The sequence below is a fragment of the Homo sapiens genome, chromosome 6 (assembly GCF_000001405.40).
Source record: "Homo sapiens chromosome 6, GRCh38.p14 Primary Assembly".
In the NCBI taxonomy this organism is placed as follows: domain Eukaryota; kingdom Metazoa; phylum Chordata; class Mammalia; order Primates; family Hominidae; genus Homo; species Homo sapiens.
The window spans coordinates 121,373,084-121,394,106 of NC_000006.12; the positions used below are offsets into that span (position 1 = coordinate 121,373,084).

The 21,023-nt window shown below is 39.9% G+C and overlaps 1 pseudogene, besides 2 other annotated features; it reads left to right on the plus strand.

Annotated features, from left to right (window-relative positions):
• Positions 2,870-3,371: an enhancer, noted in NCBI's record as "NANOG-H3K4me1 hESC enhancer chr6:121697099-121697600 (GRCh37/hg19 assembly coordinates)". NCBI's record gives its function as "activates a minimal SCP1, AML or CMV promoter by ChIP-STARR-seq in naive and primed H9 embryonic stem cells {active_cell/tissue: H9 hESC(naive and primed)}" and the evidence as "EXISTENCE:reporter gene assay evidence [ECO:0000049][PMID:30033119]".
• Positions 3,372-3,871: an enhancer, noted in NCBI's record as "NANOG-H3K4me1 hESC enhancer chr6:121697601-121698100 (GRCh37/hg19 assembly coordinates)". NCBI's record gives its function as "activates a minimal SCP1, AML or CMV promoter by ChIP-STARR-seq in primed H9 embryonic stem cells {active_cell/tissue: H9 hESC(primed)}" and the evidence as "EXISTENCE:reporter gene assay evidence [ECO:0000049][PMID:30033119]".
• Positions 8,356-8,813, plus strand: RPS15AP21 (ribosomal protein S15a pseudogene 21; annotated as a pseudogene).

Consider the following 21,023-nt stretch of genomic DNA (forward strand, 5'->3'; position numbering starts at 1 on the left):
AGGAATAACACCACACGTCTATAACCATCTGATCTTTGACAAACCTGACAAAAACAAGCAATGGGGAAAGAATTCCCTATTTAATAAATGGTGGTGGGAAAACTGGCTAGCCATATGCAGAAAACTGAAACTGGACCCCTTCCTTATGCAAAAGTTAACTTATGCAAAAGTTAACTCAAGATGGATTAAAGACTTAAACATAAGACCTAAAACCATAAAAACCCTAGAAGAAAACCTAAGCAATACTATTCAGGACATAGGCATGTGAAAAGACTTCATGACTAAAACACTAAAAGCAATGGCAACAAGAGACAAAATTGACAAATGGGATCCAATAAAACTAAACAGCTTCTGCACAGCAAAATAAACTAACATCAGAGTGAACAGGAAACCTACAGAATGGGAGAAAATTTATGCAATCTACCCATCTGACAAAGGGCTACTATCCAGAATCTACAAAGTACTTAAACAAATTTACAAGAAAAAAACAAACAACCCCATCAAACAGTGGGTAAAGGATATGAAAAGACACTTCTCAAAAGAAGACATTTATGCAGCCAACGGACACATGAAAAAATGCTCATCATCACCGGCCATCAGAGAAATGCAAATGAAAACCACAAGATACCATCTCACGCCAGTTAGAATGGTGATCATTAAAAAGTCAGGAAACAGTCGGGCTTGCTGGCTCACACCTGTAATTCCAGCACTTTGGGAGGCCAAGGCAGGTGGATCACTAGGTCAAGAGTTCAAGACCAGCCTGGCCAAGATGGTGAAACCCTGTGTTTTCTAAAAATACAAAAAGTAACTGGGTGTGGTGCCGGGCACCTGTAATCCCAGCTACTTGGGAGGCTGAGGCAGAGAATTGCTTGAACTGGGAGGCGGAGTTTGCAGTGAACTGAGATTGTACCACTGCACTCCAGCCTGGGTGACAGAGTGAGGCTTCATCTCAAAAAAAAAAAAAAGGAAACAACAGATGCTGGAGAGGATGTGGAGAAATAGGAACACTTTTACACAGTTGGTGGGAGTGTAAATTAGTTCAACCATTTTGGAAGACAATGTGGTGATTCCTCAAGGATCCAGAACCACTAGAACCAGAAATACCATTTGACTAAGCAATCCCATTATTTGTTATCTACCCAAAGGATTATAAATCATTCTACTATAAAGACACATGCACACATATGTTTATTGCAGCACTTTTCACAATAGCAAAGACTTGGAACCAACCCAAATGCCCATCAATGATAGACTGGATAAAGAAAATGTGGCACATATACACCATGGAATACTATGCAGCCATAAAAAAGGATGAGTTCATGTCCTTTGCAGGGACATGGATGAAGCTGGAAACCATCATTCTCATCAAACTAACACAAGATCAGAAAACCAAACACCACATGTTCTCACTCATAAGTGGTAGTTGAACAATGAGAACACATGGACACAGGGAGGGGAACATCACACACTGGGGCCTGTCAGGGGATGCGGAGCCTAGTGAAGGGAAAACATTAGGAAAAATGTCTAATGTAGATGACGGGTTGATGGGTGCAGCAAACCACCATGGCACATGTATACCTATGTAACAAACCTGCACATTCTGCACATGTATCCCAGAACTGAAAGTATAATAAAAAATAAATAAATAATAATGATGACGGAAAAAATAATATGTTGGCTGTAAATACTTGCCAAAATGCTTTAATCCCAATGCCTTTTGCTCTCCAAAAGCAACCTCAAGACATATATTTTGGTTTTTCACCCCTCAAAATGGATAAGCTCTATTTTAAGGCATTATTAGCTTTATTTATTATTAGCTCTTTCTCTCACGTATTTTCAAAATTATTAGCTTTATATTTATGTTTAAAAGAACTTTCTTTAATAATTATCATTTCAAAAATAAATTTAAGAAGAAATTGAATAAGACATCAAAAAATGGAAAAATATTACATGTTCATGGATTGGAAGAATAAATATTGTTAAAATGCTCATACTAGCCAAAGCAATCTATAAATTCAATGCAGTTCCTATCAAAATACCAGTGACATTCTTCAGAGAAATTTAAAAACATTCAACAAATTATATGGATCCACAAAGGGCTCAGAATAGCCAAAGAGCTATCCTTAGCAAAAAGAACAAAACTGGAGGAATCACATTACCTGAATTCAATTATACTACAGAGCTATAGCAACTGAAACAGCATGGTATTGGCATAACAACAGACACATAGACTTGTGAAACAGTATAGAGAATGCAGAAACAAATTTATACATGTACAGTTAACTCATTTTCAATGAAGTTGTGAAAAATATGCATTTGGGAAAAAAACAGTCTCTTCAATAAATGGTGCTGGAAAAAGTGGATATCCATGTGCAGAAGAATGAAACTAGACACTTATCTCTTGTAACATACAAAAATCAAATCAAAATGGATTAAAATCTTAACTTGAAAACCTCAAACTATGAAACTACTACAAGAAAACATTGAGGAAACTCCCTATGACATTGGATTGGGCAAAGATTTCCTGAGTAATACCCCACAAGCACAAACAACTGATGCAAAAATGGACAAATGGAATCACTTCAAGTTAAAAAGCTTCTGCACAGCAGAAGAAACAGTTAACACAGTGAAGAATGAATCCACAGAATCAGAGAAAATTATTTGCAAACTATCCATCTGACAAGAGATTAATAACCAAAATATGTAAGGAACTTAAACAACTATTTAGGAAAAAATTTAATAATCTGATTTTAAAATGGCCAAAAGATCTGAATAGACATTTTTCAGAAAAAGACATACAGGCCATTCGCAGTGGCTCACACCTGTAATCCCAGCACTTTGGGAGGCCAAGACAGGTAGATTGCTTGAGCTCAGGAGTTCCAGACCAGCCTGGGCAACACGGTGAAACCTTGTCTCCACCAAAAATACAAAAAAATAGCTGGGAATGATTGTGCGTACCTGTAGTCCCAGCTGCTCGAGAGGCTCAGGTGGGAGATCACTTGAGCCCAGAAGGTGGAGGCTGCCATGAGCCAAGATTGTGCCACTGCACTCCAGCCTAGGTGACAGAGTGAGACCACATCTCAAAAAAAAAAAAAAAGACATACAAATGGCAAACAGGCATATGAAAGGTGCTCAACATCATTGATTATCAAAGAAATGCAGATCAAAGCTACAATGAGATATCCTCTCAGCCCAGTTAAAATGGCTTTATATCCAAAGTGTGAACCCAAAAGTATCTGAGATAGGTCTCAATCAATTTAAAAACGTATTTGCCAAGGTTAAGGATGTACCTGTGACACAGCCTCAGGAGGTCCTGATGACTTGGGCCCAAGGTGGTTGGGGTACAGCTTGATTGTATACGTTTCAGGGATGTGTGAGACATCAACCAATATGTATAAGAGGTATATTGGTTCAGTCCAGAAAGGTGGGACAACTTGAAAGGAGTGAGTGTTGCGGGGGTGGGGGGGCTCACATTTCTTACATGTGAGAGAAGGATAGAGGATTAGTCACATGCCTCAGTCTGGGTTAGTGAATCTGCATTTTTACATAAACAGTAGGACAGAGGAAGCAATCAAATACGCATTTGTCGCAGGTGAGGATGACTTTGAGTTCTGTCCTTTTTCCTGAACCTGTGAAGATAAGCTATCAATTTATATTGCCAAGGTGGAATTCAGCAGAACTGTTTTAGGGTAAAGATATTGAGGCCCACAGGAATTTCCTTGTGGGCAAATTTTAAGGGAGGTATGTAGCTTTTTAAAAAAAATATTCGTACCTACCTTATTTAGGAATAAAATGGTAGGCAGATTTGCCTGATGCAGTTCCCAGCTTGACTTTTCCCATTGGCTCAGTGATTTGGAGGGTCCTGAGGTTTATTTTCCTTTCACGAAAGACAGGCAATAACATATGTTGGAGAGAATGTGGAGAAAAGGGAACCCTCATATCCTCATACTGGCAAGAATGTAAATTAGCACAACCACGATGAAGAACGTTTGGAGATTCCTCAAAAAACTAAAAATAGAGCCATTGCATCCAGTATATTTAGACCTTTGATCAATCTTGGATGTAGTTTTATGTATGGGGTAAGATAGAGGTCCTGTTGTTCTGGGCTGGGCATTTTTTTCCCAGATGAATAACCCATCATGTTAACATAATTTATTAAATAATCTTTCACATAATTAATATAAAATAATTATATTTTCTGTATATCCTTGTGTCTATTTCCAATTTGGTTACACTGGATTTTATCACAAGTTTTAATGTCTAGTAAAGCAATTTCCTCATCATTGAATTTTTAAATTTATATTGTGTGCTACTGACTATTTTTCCATTTGACTTTTAAATAAAACTATTATTTTTATGTGGAGAATTCCAGGAGAGGGAGGAATGCTTTCTGCATGCCTTTTAGGAGGCCATGGTGGATCTCAGCCCCATCGGTCACAACAGCAACAGCAATCACCTTATCAGCCTTATTTCTATCATCTCTTCCTCTTTTCTTGTCTTGTTTTGCACACGATTGCACCCCTACTTTCTGCCAGATAAACTCTCTGCTGCCAAGACTTGTCTCAGGCCCTTATTTTGGAGCACTTAAAAACTAGGATATTTTATTTTTTTAATAAAATAAAAACATTTCACAGCTTTGATTTATCCTATGAGAGCAGCTTTAGCTGCTATGAGGTGTACTCTCTTTCAATAATTTCTACATAATTAGTAATTGGTAATTTTAGCTCCTCTTTTCATCAGATGAATATTTTGGAGAGTTTTTATTTATTTAAAAGTAGCTAAGCATTCTGGAATTGTAATGAAAGAATGTAGTCTATAAAAATCTCTATTTTAAAAAAGTATTATATTTGTTATTATTAATATTATTTTTGATTGACCAATCATAATTGCATATGTTTATGGGGTACTATGTGATGTTTTGATATATGTGTACAATGTGAAATGATTAAATCAGGCTCATTAACATATCCATCACCTCACTTACCAAATATATATATATATATATATATATATATATATATACATATATATGTTTCTTTTTTTGAGACAGGGTCTCACTCGTTGCCCAAGCTTGAGTTCAATGGTGTGATCTTGGCTTACTGCAGTCTCAACCTCCCAGGCTCAAGGAATCCTCTTTCCTCAGCCTCCTGAGTAGCTGGGACCACAGGCACATGCCATCATGCCTGGCTAAACCTATCATTTTCAATGATGAGACATTTTAAATGTACTGTTTTATTTTGAAATATACTATACATTGTTCTCTATAAAGTACATTATACATAATAGACCTCAAACCTATTTCTCCTACCTGAAACTTTGTACTCTTGGATCAACAACTCCCTATTCCTTCCTTTCCTACTGCCCCTCCTTTCCCAGTCTCTGGTAGCCATCATTCTACTCTCTGCTTCTATGAGTTCAACTTTATTAGATTCTACATGTAAGTGAGATCATGTGGCATTTGTTTTCTGCATTTTCTTTGGTATTTGGATTATTTTACTTAGAATAATATCCTCCAGATTTATCTATGTTGTCATAAATGACAGAATTTCACCCTAGTTTTAGACTTAATAGTATCTCATTGTGTATATATCTTACATTTTCTATGCATTCATCCATTGATGGACACTTAAGTTGATTCTACATCTTAGCTTTTGTGAATAATCATGCAATGAACATGGGAATGCAGGTATTCCTTTGACATATTCTTTTTTATTTAATGCTAGTTTTGTGAAGCAGTGGGAGTGGAGAAGGAACAAAGAAATGTGTAACTAGTTTTGATCAATTAGTTGTGAACACCACTGCATTCAGATCAGCCTCCTTCAACATATTCATTTCAATTTCTTTGACTGTATACCCAAAAGTGTAATTACTGTACCATATGGTAGTTCAATTTTTAGTTTTTTGAGGAACCTCCATACCGTTTTCCATAATGACTGTACTAATTTACATTCCCACCAGCAATATACAAGAGTTTTGTATTCTCCACATCTTCTCCAACATTTATCTTTCATTATTTTTATAAAAGCCATTCTAATGAGTGTGAGATGATATCTCATTGTGATTTTACTATAATTCATGTTTCTCTGATGATTACTGATACTGAGCATTTTTTTTCATGTACCTATTGGCCATTTGTATATCTTCTTTTGAAAAATGTGTATTCAGGTCCTTTGTCTATTTTTAATTAGGTTATTTGTTTTCTGTCTATTGAGTTGTTTTTTTACTTCTTTATATATTTTGGATATTAACTCCTTATTAGATGTATGGTTGAAAATATTTCCTTCCATTCTGTGGGTTGTCTCTTCACTGTGTTAATTGTTTCCTTTGCTGGGCAGAAGTTTTTTAGTTTGAGCCCATCCCATTTTTTTATTTTATTTTATTTTTAGAGACAGGGTCTCACTCTGCCATCTAGGCTAAAGTGCAGTGGCATAATCATAGCTCACTGTAGCCACAGACTCTTGAGCTCAAGTGATCCTCCCACTTCATCCTTTCAAGAAGCTGGGACTTTAGATGTGTGCCACCATGCCTAGCTAATGTTTTAATTTTTTTGTAGGCACAGGGCCTCACTATGTTGCCCAGGCTGGTCTCAAACTCCTGGCCTCAAACGATCCTCCTGCTTTGGCCTCCAAAGAACTGGGATTACAGGTGTGAGCCACCCCACCTGGCCCTGTCTATTTTTGCTTTTGTTGCCTACGTTTTTAGGGTCATATCAAAAAAGTCATTGCCCAAACTGTGACCTGCAGGCCAAATCTGGCCTGCCTCCAGTTTTTATGTGACTCTCACACTAAGAATGGTTTTTACCTTTTATATGGTTGGAGATAAAAAGCAAAAGAAGAAAATTATTTTGTGAAACATAAAAATTATAGAAAATTCAAATTTCAGTGTCCATCAATAAAGCCTTAGTGGAACACACACACACACGTGCACGCACACACACACACACACGTTATTGAACACACACACACACACACACACACACACACTTTATTGTCCAGAAAAATGTCATGGAAATTTTCCACTATGTTTTCTTCTAGTGGCTTAACAGTTTCAGGTCTTATATGTGTTTAAGTCTTTAATTCATTTTGAGTTGATTTTTTTATATGGTGTAAGGCAAGAGTCTAACTTCATTATTCTGCATGTGGATATCCAGTTTTCTCAAAACCATCTGTTGAAGAGACTGACATTTCCCCACTGTGAGTTATTGGCATGTTTGTCAAAAATCAATTGACCATAAATGCATAGGTTTATTTCTGAATTTTCTATACTGTTTCATTGGTTGATATGTCTGCTTTTTTTGCCAGTACTATCCTCCTCTGATTTTAATCACTTTATAATACGTTTTGAAATCAGAAAATATATGGCTAGGCACAGTGGCTCACGCCTGTAATCCCAGCACTTTGGGAGGCCGAGGTGGGTGGATCACTTCAGGTCAGGAGTTTGAGACCAGCCTGGCTAACATGGTGAAACCCTATCTCTACTAAAAATACAAAAAATTAGCCACGCCTGGTGGCGAGTGCCTGTAATCCTAGCTACTCTGGAGGCTGAGGTGGGAGAATCGCTGGAACCCGGGAGGCGGAGGTTGCAGTGAGCTGAGATCGCCCTACTGCACTCTAGCCTGGGAAACGGAGTGAGACTCTGTCTCAAAAAAAAAAAAAAAAAGAAAGAAATCAGAAAATATGATTCCTCCACCTTTGTTCTGACTGGGAAGAGTAACAAAATTATTTCTGGAATTCTAATTGTTATTATGTTCTGACTCTTTTTTTTTTTTTTTGAGACAGAATCTCACTCTGTCACCCAGGCTGGAGTGCAGTGGCGCGATCTCAGCTCACTGCAACCTCCGCCTCCCAGGTTCAAGCGATTCTCCTGCCTCAGCCTCCCAAGTTGCTGAGATTACAGGCACGTGCCACCATGCCCAGCTAATTTTTGTATTTTTAGTAGAGACAGGGTTTCACCAGATTGGTCAGGCTGGTCTTGAACTCCTGACCTTGTGATCTGCCCACCTCGGCCTCCCAAAGTGCTGGGATTACAGACGTGAGCCACCGCACCCAGCCCTATGTTCTGACTCTTGAAATGTTCCCAAGTTTCTTCTCTTTACCTCATGATTTCTGTCTTTTTGTGTTTTGTTTTGCATTTGTTTTCTTTAATGTAATCTCCAAAACTATCAATTTAATTTTCAGCAACAACCATTCTCTTTGTTTATTTAGTCTAATGATATTTATTTTTGAAAATCGTGTTTCATAATTCCAGCAAGTCTTTTTATGTATGTGTATATACTGTAAGTTTGTCACAAAAAGTCCTCATTGGTTCTTTGTAAAGGTTTATTCTGGATAACTCCGTGTACTCTCCCTTCCTGTTCTCTTTCCGCCATCTTTCTGCACTGCCACAACGGTGTGCATAAATGTCCTGGCTGATGATCTCAAGAGCATCAACAATGCTGAAAAGAGAGGCAAATGCTAGGTTCTTATTAGGCCGTGCTCCAAAGTTATTGTCTGATTCCTAACTGTGATGATGAAGCATGGTTACATTGACAAATTTAAAGTCACTGATGATCACAGAGCAGGGATAATTGTTGTGAACCTCACAGGAAGTCTAAACTAGTGTGGAGTGATCGGCCCCAAATTTGATATGCAACTCAAAGATCTAGAAAAATGGCAGAATAATTTGCTTCCATCCTGCTAGTTTAGGTTTGTTGTACTGACAACCTCAGCTGGCATCATGGACCACAAAGAATCAGGATGAAAACACACAGGAGGGAAGATCCTGGGAATTTTTTCTAGAGGTGTAATCCATATTTACAAAGAAAATTCCTCATGAGAAAAAAAGATTTATTCTGCCTCTCCCGAAAATTTTAGTTCAACGACATCCATCAGGTTTTAGCTGTTCTTCATCTTTCTGGTTACCAAACCTGTTTAAGTCTTTAGCACTTTTCCTTTGCTTGCTCACATCTGATCTCCCTCAGCTATTTGGTCAGTCTGTTAGGCTCTTTCAGAGACAAACCAGCAAGTGATAGAAAGTACAAAAGTTGGCTGGGCGCAGTGGCTCACGCCTGTAATCCCAGCACTTTGGGAGGCCGTGATGGGTGAATCATGAGGTCAGAAGTTCGAGACCAGACTGGCCAACGTAGTGAAACTCTGTCTCTACTAAAAATACAAAAAAATTAGCCAGGCGTGGTGGCAGGCACCTGTAATCCCAGCTACTAAGGAAGCTGAGGCAGGAGAATCGCTTGAACCTGAGAGGCGGAGGTTGCGGTGAACTGAGATCACGCCATTGAACTCCAGCCCGGGCAACAGTGCAAGACTCAGTCTCAAAAAAAAAAAAAAAAGAAAGAAAGAAAGAAAGTACAAAAGTTGATTTGTTTGTTCATTTTTACAATGTGCCAGTCTTTTCTTATATTACATCTCTGCTGATGCAAAAGAAAAGGACATCTTTTCTCTCTGGTCACACCAGATGCAAACAATAGCCATTTTCCAACCATAGGGACCACACACAAATCAGCCCAGTGGTTTATTTCCAACATTGCTGGGTTAGGTGTGTCTCCTAAGTCCATAGGTCATTGAAAAATACAGCCCTCCATATGGGAATTCAAAGATATGGTTGAACTGCCTCATGGAAAACTGGGCTTCGTGCCAAAGCTTGTAAAGACACAGGCTGCCTCGTCTCTTGCTGCTCCCTCAGATACTGCCTAGCACTAGGGAGAATGAATTCTTTTACCTGAACTCTAATGCACTGGACATATTTGCTCCTCCAACAGTATTGGTGTGACTGAAGAAAGGACAACAGGGCAGCCAGTGGTCCTGTTAAGAACTGTATCAAATCCACCAACAGTCACAGCCTCACTAATGTAATTTACCTCAGAGATTATTTGGACTAATCTAATCTCATGCCCTACAGCCCTGATTCATCTGCCTGGAAGTCTTTTCCCCCCTCTTACTTTTCTCACTTTCTTCAGGTCTCTGATTAAAAGTGACCTTCCAGAGAGACCTTCCCTATTCATTCTATATAAAATAGCAGAACCACATCCTTCTGTCCTCTTAACCGGCTTTATTTTTCTTTGCAGCCTCATTGTCTGTGTCCTTTTATTAGAATATAAAGAACAGGGGATTTCATGTTTGCTACTGATGTATCTCCATCACCTAAAACAGTGCCAGAAATGTTATTGATGCTCAAAATATAACTGTTGAGTGAAGAAATAAATGAGATTCTTGTGCAAATTGTGGACTCATATGCATCGTCTTGATTTGGAAATCTGGCTGTTTTTTTATTCCATATGTAGACAGAATAAGGAAAAAGAGAAAAGCCAGGATATGTGCTCAAGCTACTTTATATCTGAATGTTCCCATCATGGGCCATGTGAACATTTTTTAAAAATCAATCTTTTTTTATTTCCAAGGGGATAAAATAAGTTCGTGTGCACTCCCAGCCAAAGATGGCATATTGAACACATGTACCTGTTTTTACTTGCTCTTTAAAGCATTCTAAAGTGACAATAGAAGTTTTTGAGGGTATAAATTCACAAAAGGAAGCAGAATAGATACAGAGATTATAGTTATAACATTTCATAATCTAGCAATCAAATACATAAGAAGAAATGACTCAGCAAAACTGAGAAAAACTAATTTTAAAGTAGCAGAGGAAGAAGCCAATAGCTAAAGTGGTTTAAGTCACAGAATTGCCCAAATGCTCAGAAACTGGCTGTCCCAGATACTTGTAGAAATACGGATAATCCCAGCTATATCTTGAAAAAAAAAAACTGAGGATATAGTCTTTCAAGAAATAACCAGAGAACTTTAGACTTGAGAACTAGAGTTGGGGCAGGAAAAGTGCACTCAAAACAAAGATATTATACAAGTATATACGTAATCACAGCTAAGGCCACCCCTCTATCTTCCTCTCTCCTTGGTAGCCAGCCACAGTTCCCCAGGTCTTTACTCTCTGTGCAGCAAACAGATAGAGTCTTCTCTGAGAACTTGACTGGTCCAAAAAGAAAAATTAAGCATCCCAAACAGATCACCCTACAATAACATTCACAGTCCATATGCTATATTGTTCTACTGCTGACTTGGGTAGGTTGGGAGTCACATTTTTCTTTCTCTTTGTGGTTCTGAGTGAGAACTAGTCATGAGAAAAAAAAACTTACATGAAATTTAGGGGTGGAGATTAAGCAATGATCATTACTCTCTTAAGAATCCACAGTTAAATGTAATGCTGGAAAAGTGCAGAGTTGCCTCGCAGATTCCAGCTTATCTTCCCATATCCTCAACTCCATGTCATGTTCTTCTTCCCATCTATAGGCCCTGGTAACAAACAGCATTCCCAGGCTCATCACCAGATACCTGGTGGCAAACCTACAGTGATAGTACAGAGGTAAGAGTTTCCCACAGTCTCCCCCTTGACCTCTTGTTTGTAGTCCCGCTCCGGTGACTGGACATGCTAGGCTTCTTAGATTTCCCTAGAGACCCTGATTTTTCCACCCACTTCAGTGCCTGAAGAGGACTTGCTAATGACGTTTTATCTGATCTGCTAGTCCTTTGCTTCCCTAGCTCACCCCACAAATATTTAGGTCTAATTCCTATGACAAATCCCTTAATATTTATAGAGGTTCTGCTTCCCTATTGGACACTGACTAATAGTATCGACAAGCCATATTCAGGTGCTTAGTTTTCAGTCACCTTTTAAAATGCCCCCATGCTTTTTAATTGCCTTGACAAAGCTACTATCATGAATCTCCTTTGAGAGAAAAGAGACAATATTACAGACACACACAAAAAGACTGGATTTTATTATAAATAAATATTCAGCCAACAGAGAAAGCTCTTAGGAATTGAAAATCTAATAGCAAAAATGAAATAGTCATCAGAAGAACTGGAATATAATATTGAATCTATCTCCAGAAAATAGAAAAACAAATAAATAAAGAGATGAAGAAGACAAAAAATATTTTGGAAAATAGAAGACTAGTCCAGAGAACCTAATATTTGAAAACACAGAGTTTGACAAAGAGAAGAAAGAGGAAAGAGAAAGGAAGACATCAACAATGAAATAACTCAATCCAAGTTGTCAGAACTGAAGAGTTTCTAGATTAAAATGACTCATATACTGCCAAAAAAATTGATGAAAATAGACCCACATCAAGATACATCATTTGAAATTCCACAACACAGGAGAAAGACGATCCTAGCACCTTCTGGAGAATAAACACTGGTTACATGCAAAGAATTAGAAGTAAAAATGGGTTTAGGCTTCTACATTTCAATACCAGAGCAATGTCTTTAAATTTTGAAGGAAAAATCTTTCCCATATACAAATTCTATACCTTTCTACAAAGGAAGGTAGACTTTCACACCTGGTCAAGTAAGAATTTTACTCCCATTCATCCTTTTAGGGAGCTACTAGAAAAAAAAGTCAACCTAAGAGAGAAATTAAACCAAGAGGGAGAATTCATGGCTCAGAACAAAAAGGAGAGGTGGTAAGAATCTAGGTGATGCTAAAGGGAGAACATGTACTAGGCAAGGAGAGTACCCAGCAGATTGCAAAGTATAAAAACAACACACACACACACATATATATATACACACACACACACATCATATATATAGACACACACATACATACATATACACTCACACATATATACGTATGTGTACATACACATACATATATATGTACATACACATACAAATACATATATATGTACATACACATACATATACATATATATGGATTCAAAACAAAGATATTATGCAAGTATATACATAATCACAGCTGAGGCCACCCCTCTATTTTCCTCTCTCCTTGGTAGCCAGCCACAGTTCTCCAGGTCTTTACTCTCTGTGCAGCAAACAGATAGAGTCTTCTCTGAGAACTTGACTGGTCCAAAAAGAAAAATTAAGCATCCCAAACAGATCACCCTACAATAACATTCACAGTCCATATGCTATATTGTTCTACTGCTGACTTGGGTAGGTTGGGAGTTACATTTTTCTTTCTCTTTGTGGTTCTGAGTGAGAACTAGTCATGTATATATACATACATACATATATATGTACATACACATACATATATATGTGTGTGTCTATATATATGTGTGTGTGTGTCTATATATATGAAGGGCATAGATACTCTTTTTTCCACAATGCACAGATAATATTTTAAAAATAATAAAACCATTGCTTTTGTTGAAGAGATCCACAATATTGATGATGTATAGCAGAGATTGAATGATGTGTCAATGAACACATCATTGACATCAATTGTTATATCAAGCCTTGTGCCTCTCTTTTAACCAGTATCTTAGCCAAAGTATTCTGATTCCTGCAGAGATAATGCATAAAATACACACACACCCACACACCCCACCACACAAAAATTTGTGCAAATGACAGGATTTAGGTTGATATAATAATTGATACATAGATATAGATATACATAGAATATCCTCAAAAGTTAGATATTACAAAAAGCTGGTAATAGTTCTTGCAATCCTGAAAACAGGAAACGAGTTGACTGTGGGGGGAAGGAAATGTGAGGAAGACCAACTTTTCTCTTCTCAGTTACCATTTTTTTGCTTCTAAATTTTGTGTTGTGTGCATATTACCTATATATAATTAATAAAACATTCTCCTCCCCCCACAAACAAAGAATAACTTATTTATTTATTTATTTATTTATTTATTTATTTATTTATTTATTTTTTGAGGCAGAGTTTCACTCTTGTTGCCCAGGCTGGAATGCAATGGCAAGGTCTTGGCTCACTGCAATCTCTACCTCCCGGGTTCAAGTGATTCTCCTGCCTCAGTCTCCCAAGTAGCTGGGATTACAGGTGCCTGCTACCACACCCAGCTAACTTCTTATATTTTTAGTCGAGACAGGGTTTTACCATGTTGGGTAGGCTGGTCTCGAACTCCTGACCTCAGGTGATCCGCCCGCCTTGGCCTACCAAAGTGCTGGGATTACAGGCATGAGCCACCGCACCCAGCAGAATTACTTTAGACTTCTCAATGGCCAGTGGAAGATAGAAGGCCATGGAATAATGACTTTAAAATTCTAAAGAAAAATTGTTACAATCTAGAATTCCATATATAGTTATACAATTAGGGATTAGATAGAATAAAGATAATTAGATATTTTTAGGCAAAATAGCCTCAAAATATACTTCCTGGTACAATTTCTCAAAAAATTACTAGAAAATATGTTTTAACGATTGAACAAACAAACCTGGAAAAACAAAGATATAGTACATGGAAAATGGAAAATGGAAAATACAACCCATGAGAAGGACAAAGGGAATCCTCAGATGAAGGGCGATCCCCGGATAAACACTGTAAGCCAAGTCTAGCAGATATTCAACCTAGATTACAACAGCTCAGAAATCTCAGAGAGATTGCTTCCAAAAGTTGAAATTAGTAGGGCACCTGGTGGACCTGAAATCCAGAGACATCTCAGGATGTGTTATTCCTGGTCCTGCTTGCTCTCAGATCCATTTCCTGCCAATCCTCTGCTCTGCTCTGTGTTTCAGGGAGGGATGGTCCCTGCAGGTTGGCTTTCTCGGGCTTCTACGTTAGTACATTTCTCACTGAGACCACTGGTAACAGTTTGGAGAAGAGGAAAGGAAGGAAAACCAGGTTATTTTCTATGTCTCTTTCTTGGGCAACTCCCTTAGTATTATAAGTTTCCTTTTTTTTTTTTTTTTTCTTGAGGCAAACTGTCACTCTGCTGCCCAGGCTGGAGTGCAGTGGCTTGATCATGGCTCACTGCAGCCTCAACCTCCCAGCCTCAGGTAATCCCTCCACCCCAGCCTCCCGAGTAGCTGGGACAACAGGTGCACACTACCACACCCAGCTAACTTTTTGATTATCTGTAGAGATGGGGTTTCCCTGTGTTGCCCAGGCTGGTCTCAAACTTCTGGGCTCAAGCAATCCTCCTGCCTCATCCAAAGTGCTGGGATTATAGGTATGAGCCACCAGACCCAGCCTAAGTTACCATTTTGATTCCATCTATCGCTGGATATTAATGCTATGGCTTCAGACACCACTTTTCTCCTTTTTCTCTCAAACCTAGAGAGAAAAGCTACTGATAGCATTCTGGTGTTACCAAAGTGTTTAGTTACTTCACTGCCCCCTTTAACTTCTCGCCTCCTCCCTGCATTCCAGTTCCTTAAATTCAATTCCTTTGTTGTAAATTCTTTTTTTTTCCAGTTTGAGAAATTAATGTGTATCAGTGATATAAGTTTCAAATACATTTCCAATATTTCATGTGGCTTTTTCTTAGATGTCCTTGATTTACAATATGCAGGGATGTATTTATTTCTACAGTTGCATTTATCAATCTCTTCTATGGATTCTGATTTCCCCCACTGAGTTTATTAAAACAAATCCCCCTGCTTTTCCTTCTGGGTCCCTTCTCTGGACTTAACCTCCATGCTGAATACCCCCTCTCCTTCCATCCCTGCAGGTCTACTCTCCCTTTTCCCTGGATGTGCACAGGCCTTGGTCATCTTTGTACTCTCTGTTACTCCTTCCTGGAAAACCCTTCTACCCCTTATCTTCTAGCCTCCCAGGATCATCCTTCACATCTTACTTCAGAAGTGAAGTAGCTGTGCCTCCAGGAAGCCCTCCTGGACCACAACATGTACTGCCTTATTTACATTTACTGATTTACATCGTCATCCCCAGGGCTTGTGCAGCTGAGTCACCTCCATCATGTGTCATGTGGCCTTGTGAGCACCTGTTCCTAAATCCCCACTCCTTACCAGACTCTGAATTTCCTGGAGTGAGCCCCTGTCAGAGGCATGGTGATAGGTCAGTAAACTAGTGTCAGGTGAGTATATGGATAGAGAACAAGAACGTTCAGGGTCAACCTGGATGCTAAAGTGTCAGTAACAGCATTGAAGAGGGTGTGGAATATGGGTCTAATCTGACATCCTATCTGGGTGTCCTGTGAAGCCTGAGACCTCTGTACTTTCTGGGGCCTCAAGCAAGCTGAACAGGGCCCATCAGTGCAGAGACCAAACTATATCACCCTTCACAGAGAAACTGGGGCCTGAGCCAGGCTCTGGGCTGCTGCTCACTCCTCTCTTTGGATCCATCCCATAGTCTCTGTTTCTCTCAGTCCATGTCTGTGTGTCTGAATCTGTCCCTCTATTTGCTCTTCTTCAGAGCTCTCCTTCTTTCTCAATGTCTTTGTCACTCTGACCCTCTGTCTCCTTCTCTCCAGAATCCATAACCCTGAAAGATGGTTTACCACTTCACTTCAGGTCCTGGAAGGACAGTCTCTGCACCTGGTCTGTGCCGTCAATAGCAACCCTCCAGCCAGACTGAGCTGGGTCCAGAAGAGCCTGACCCTGAGCCCCTCCCAATCCAACACTGGGGTGCTAGAGCTGCAAGCGCACCTCAGAGATGAAGGATAATTTACCTGCCAAGCTCAGAGCCGTCTCGGAACAGCAGAGCTCCTTGACACTCTCTCTGCAGAGTGAGTGTCAAGGGGCTACTTGCCAGACTGCAGCCTCCCACAAACTGCAGCTCCCAGGTGGCTAAGCAAGTGGCCCCCTGGGGTCACCCAGGGAAATAGCAGTGTGCTCAGCCCAGATTCAAAGACAGCTTTGAGGCCTGGACTGACACTGAGGCCAGAGCCCTCTGTTTACTGCTGGTCAGTCTTGAGAGGGGTTGAGGTGAGGCCTGGACTGACATGTTCTTACATCCAGAGATTCAGGAATGATCTGGAGAATAAATGTCCAAGTCTTATAGGAACAGGAAAAACAAGGAATTGTGGTTTAGCAGATGAATCTGCCTTGTCCCATTTTTCCCAGTAAAACCAGGGCCCATGGTGGAGGTGTTTATTTTGGCCATCGGGGAGGCAACTGTGAAGATCTCGTTTCTCTGTCTCTGCCTCATCTTCCTCAGGTGAGTGCTGCCCCAGGACCAAAGCAGGAGGTGTGGGGCAGGCAGGGACATGATGCTGAATTTGAGTCCTAGTGCTGGAGGGACCTGAACCAGTCAAGAGGGCCCAAGGCCAGCAGAAGTTGAGTTGTGGTGAGAATTCTGCATGGGCCAGTTGTTGTCTGTCCCCAACTCTGGGTGAGAGTCCAGCTCTCATCATGGAGATCTTGGAGGTTAGGCCTGCTTTCTCCACCTCAGTCCCTTCCAGCCCCTTAGCAGGGCACAGGGAGGTGAGTTTGCTGCTCTCTACACCCTGATCTGGCCACACTGACAGGCCCTGGGCCCTTTGCTTATTGTCAGGTCCTGCAGTAGGAAGGCAGCAAGGGCAGCAGCAGGTGTGGAGGCTGCAAACACCGTCACGGGCTAATCTCTCAGATGAGTGTCATGGAGGTCTCACCCTCCAACATCCCACTAGACACCTCTCCCTAGATGGCTCCTAGGATTGCTCCGCTCAACGTGGCCAAAGTTGAACCAACCATCTACCCCCCCCCAACCAACTTTCTCTGCTGGGACTCACATCTCACTGATGACACAGTGATCCCCTCTTTAAAGTCATAACAAGGGTGTGGTTCTCCACCTTGAGCTTCCTCCCTCCCTTCTCCACATCCCGTACATCACTAATTCTTGTCCCTCCTTCTCCTAAGCAGGGCTCACCTTGGAGCCCTTTTCTCCATCCTAATCCTGGTCATTCCTGGAGCCTCACCTCTTCTCTGGTCACTGAACCCTCCTGACTTCCTGCCTCTATCTCTCCCCAACACAGGCCTGCACACAGAGCTTCCAGATGCCTCTGTGTCCAGTTCCTCCACAGTCTGAATGGCCATGTTTCCTTTCCATGGCTGTAGAATGAGGTGCAAACACTACAGCACAGTCTGTTTCCTGCTAGACTCTGCTCCCAAATGGTACACAAATGGCCAAAGAGCACACGAGAAGATGCTCAACATCATTAGTCATTTGACAAATGCAGATCAAAACTGTAAAGGAGATGCTACTTCACACTAATTAAAACAGCTGTACTATTTTCCCATTGCTTCTGTAACAAATTACCCCAACATTAGTGGTTTGAAACACCACCACTTACTTCCTTACAGTTCTGCAGGTCAGAAGGATGAAACAGGACTCACTGGACTATAAAATCAAGGATGGTTCCTTCTGGATGCTTTTTGAAGCAAGGGTTTTATTGTTGGGTCTGCAGGCTATACAAGAAGCATAGTGGCTTCTGATTTTGCTTGACTTCTGGGAAGGCCTCAGGAAACTTAAAATCATGGCAAAAGGTGAAGGGGGAGCCAGCACTTCACACGGCTAGAGAAGGAGGAAAAGCTTTGTTGTAAATTCTTAAAATGGTTTCATTTTTCCTGGTGAGATGTATGGTTAAATTACAAAGTAATACCTAGAAATCTAAGAAAAACAATAAAATAAAATAATTAATAGCAAGGAACAAAATTTGCGTAAGAAAGAGAAGGTTCTCGGCTAGGTGCAGTGGCTCACACCTGTAATCCCAGGACTCTGGGAGGCTGAGGCAGGTGGATCACGAGGTCAGGAGTTCGCAAGCAGCCTGGCCAACATGGTGAAACCCTGTCTCTACTAAAAATACAAAAAATTAGCCAGGCGTGGTGGTGAATGCCTGTAATTCCAGCTACTTGGGAGGCTGAGGCAGGAGAATCACTTGAACCCAGGAGGCGGAGGTTGCAGTGAGCTGAGATCGCGCGATTGCGCTCCAGCCTGAGTGACAGAGCAAGACTCCATCCTGAAAAACAAGAAGAAAGCGAAGGCTCTCATTTTTTACTATATGGTTTAGCTCTTACTTTTATTTAAATGATCAAAGTAATATAAATAATTAATATTTGCTCTAACAAAGATTAGACTCACTTTTCATAACCCAAACCCTACAAAATGATAGACCAGATCATAGAAATTCTCCTATAGAGCAAAAAGATACTCCTATTTATAATAGGTAAGTCTTGCAGCTCTGTTGAGAAAAGGACAATATGATGTACAGGAAATTAAAGAAAAGCTCTTCCTTTCTAGTGGGAGGGGTAGAGGAAGGATGGTAGAGAGAAGAAAGAAAAGGGAGAAAGGAAGTATGGGACATATAACATGTGGATCCTGATATAGTTTTCTCCAGTCTTCTTTCCGAAAAACACAGGTATATTGGGTAAACTCCAAATGAGGAGATCTGGCCCCTTCTCTATCTTTGGGACTTTAGAAAGAGACTACCTCTCAAAACTGGAGAGAGAAGCATACCAAGTAAATTTGATAGCAACTCCGAGTTCTATCTGAGAGCTTGTCAGAAGTAGCTGCTGTAATTAGGATGAGAGTTCTTGGAGCTGGGGTTTGAAGGGCAGAACACTCTAACTGGAGTTAAGGAGTTCAGACAGTACTAAAGGGGTGCCAAGGTGGAACCAAATCAATGGAAAGAGAACACAAAGTCCTCACTGAGTTGAGGACAAAGAGAACACAAGCTCATGGCCATAATTGTCAGCAATAAATACCATCAATGGAGACAGCTCATAAATGAATTAAACCAGCCAGTGCACCCCCCCACCCACAAGGACCAGCCTAGGGTCAAGGAGACTCGTTTCCCTTAATTCTCTCAATAACCCCAACTAATAACTTCAACACACTGCAAAAGATGCTACTAGTGGTCCAGTAACCCCACTATTCTTCCAAAAGATGCTACTTGGGGAGGAACCCAGAAGGGAAGCAGAATCCTAAAAGAACCTGAGTAATATAAGATAAACAAAGTTACCTAAAGAGAAAAATTATGTTTGGATACTACTGCTTCATGCTAACTTGGGCTATAATTGGTTTATGTATATTTTCTGACTACCTAGAGATATCAAGAAGCACATTTGAGTTGTTGTAGTCCATTGGCAACCTCACAATACAGAAGTTTAGCTACAATGTGACAATTTTATTCATGAAAATACGGAAGCACAGAGGGCTTAAATGTCTTTGCCAAGGTTAAAGCTGAAAATAGAATGATGATTTCAACTACAGTTGACCTTAGTAAAAAGCGGATCCTCTTTACCAAATACGAGTACCTTGATCCCTCAGCAAAGGCTCTTTTTCCTGCACCTTCACTCTCCAGCCACTAGCTTTCTTTTCCTACCCCAACTTCTAGTTAATGATACAGCTCTTCATTCTGCTCATGACCATGTGTCTGATGTTTACTACAGATACAATTAGCTTAAAGTTTGCTTAAAGTTACAGATAAAAAAAGCTAACAAGTTACTTTACATCAGGCCATCTATAAAAACAAATGAAAGAGGAACTCACAGTCACTTGTAGACTCTGAACAGATGTCTTTGGCAAGAATAGAATGTAGAAAGGAGAAAATTCCATACCACGATGCCACTTGGACAGTTCTGAGAACACTGATACAGCTTCCCCATTTTTAAATTTATAATTACAGTAAAACTCTGGTGAAAATACAAGTCAAGAATATATCAGCTGACAAGAGAATATTTTCAACAAGAATGACCACTCAGACTTAGAATCTATGATGGTTAAAATAGAAAGGTAGCTAATTTGAGATGTGCAAGGATGCTGAACAGGAGGCATTCTACAGCACCCGTCACTTGACCTCCTTTCACAATTTGTGGTGCTCCTGGGTATCAAAGATCTAATTATTTTAATCATTATTCTTTCTGTGGGTTTTAAAATAATTAATTTGTTTCCTATTCCGTCTAAGCTCTCAAGAAAACTGTGGAGTCTTGTCATAATACTTTGTAATTTATAACTTTCCTTTAGTTATATTGTTTCCTGGTATTCTCACAATACTTCATGTGATAGATGATAGGGATGAGAAACTGTGGTTCCAAGAATTCAAGCAATTTCTGCAAGGCCCCATTACTGGAACATGAGGAGCTGGGATTCCAAACCCAGTCTTCCAACTGCAAATCCCTTTCCACTCTAATTCCTTCCTGAATTTATCTGATTTACAGCAGGGCAATGACTCCCAAACCTTAATTCTGCCCTAGGAAATTACTCATACTTTCTCTTTATCATCAAAAGGGAGTCTGTCAAGAATCAGTATCAAAAATTCTTAATCTGGTGAACTGTATTGCTCTTCCAAATTTAACTCTACAC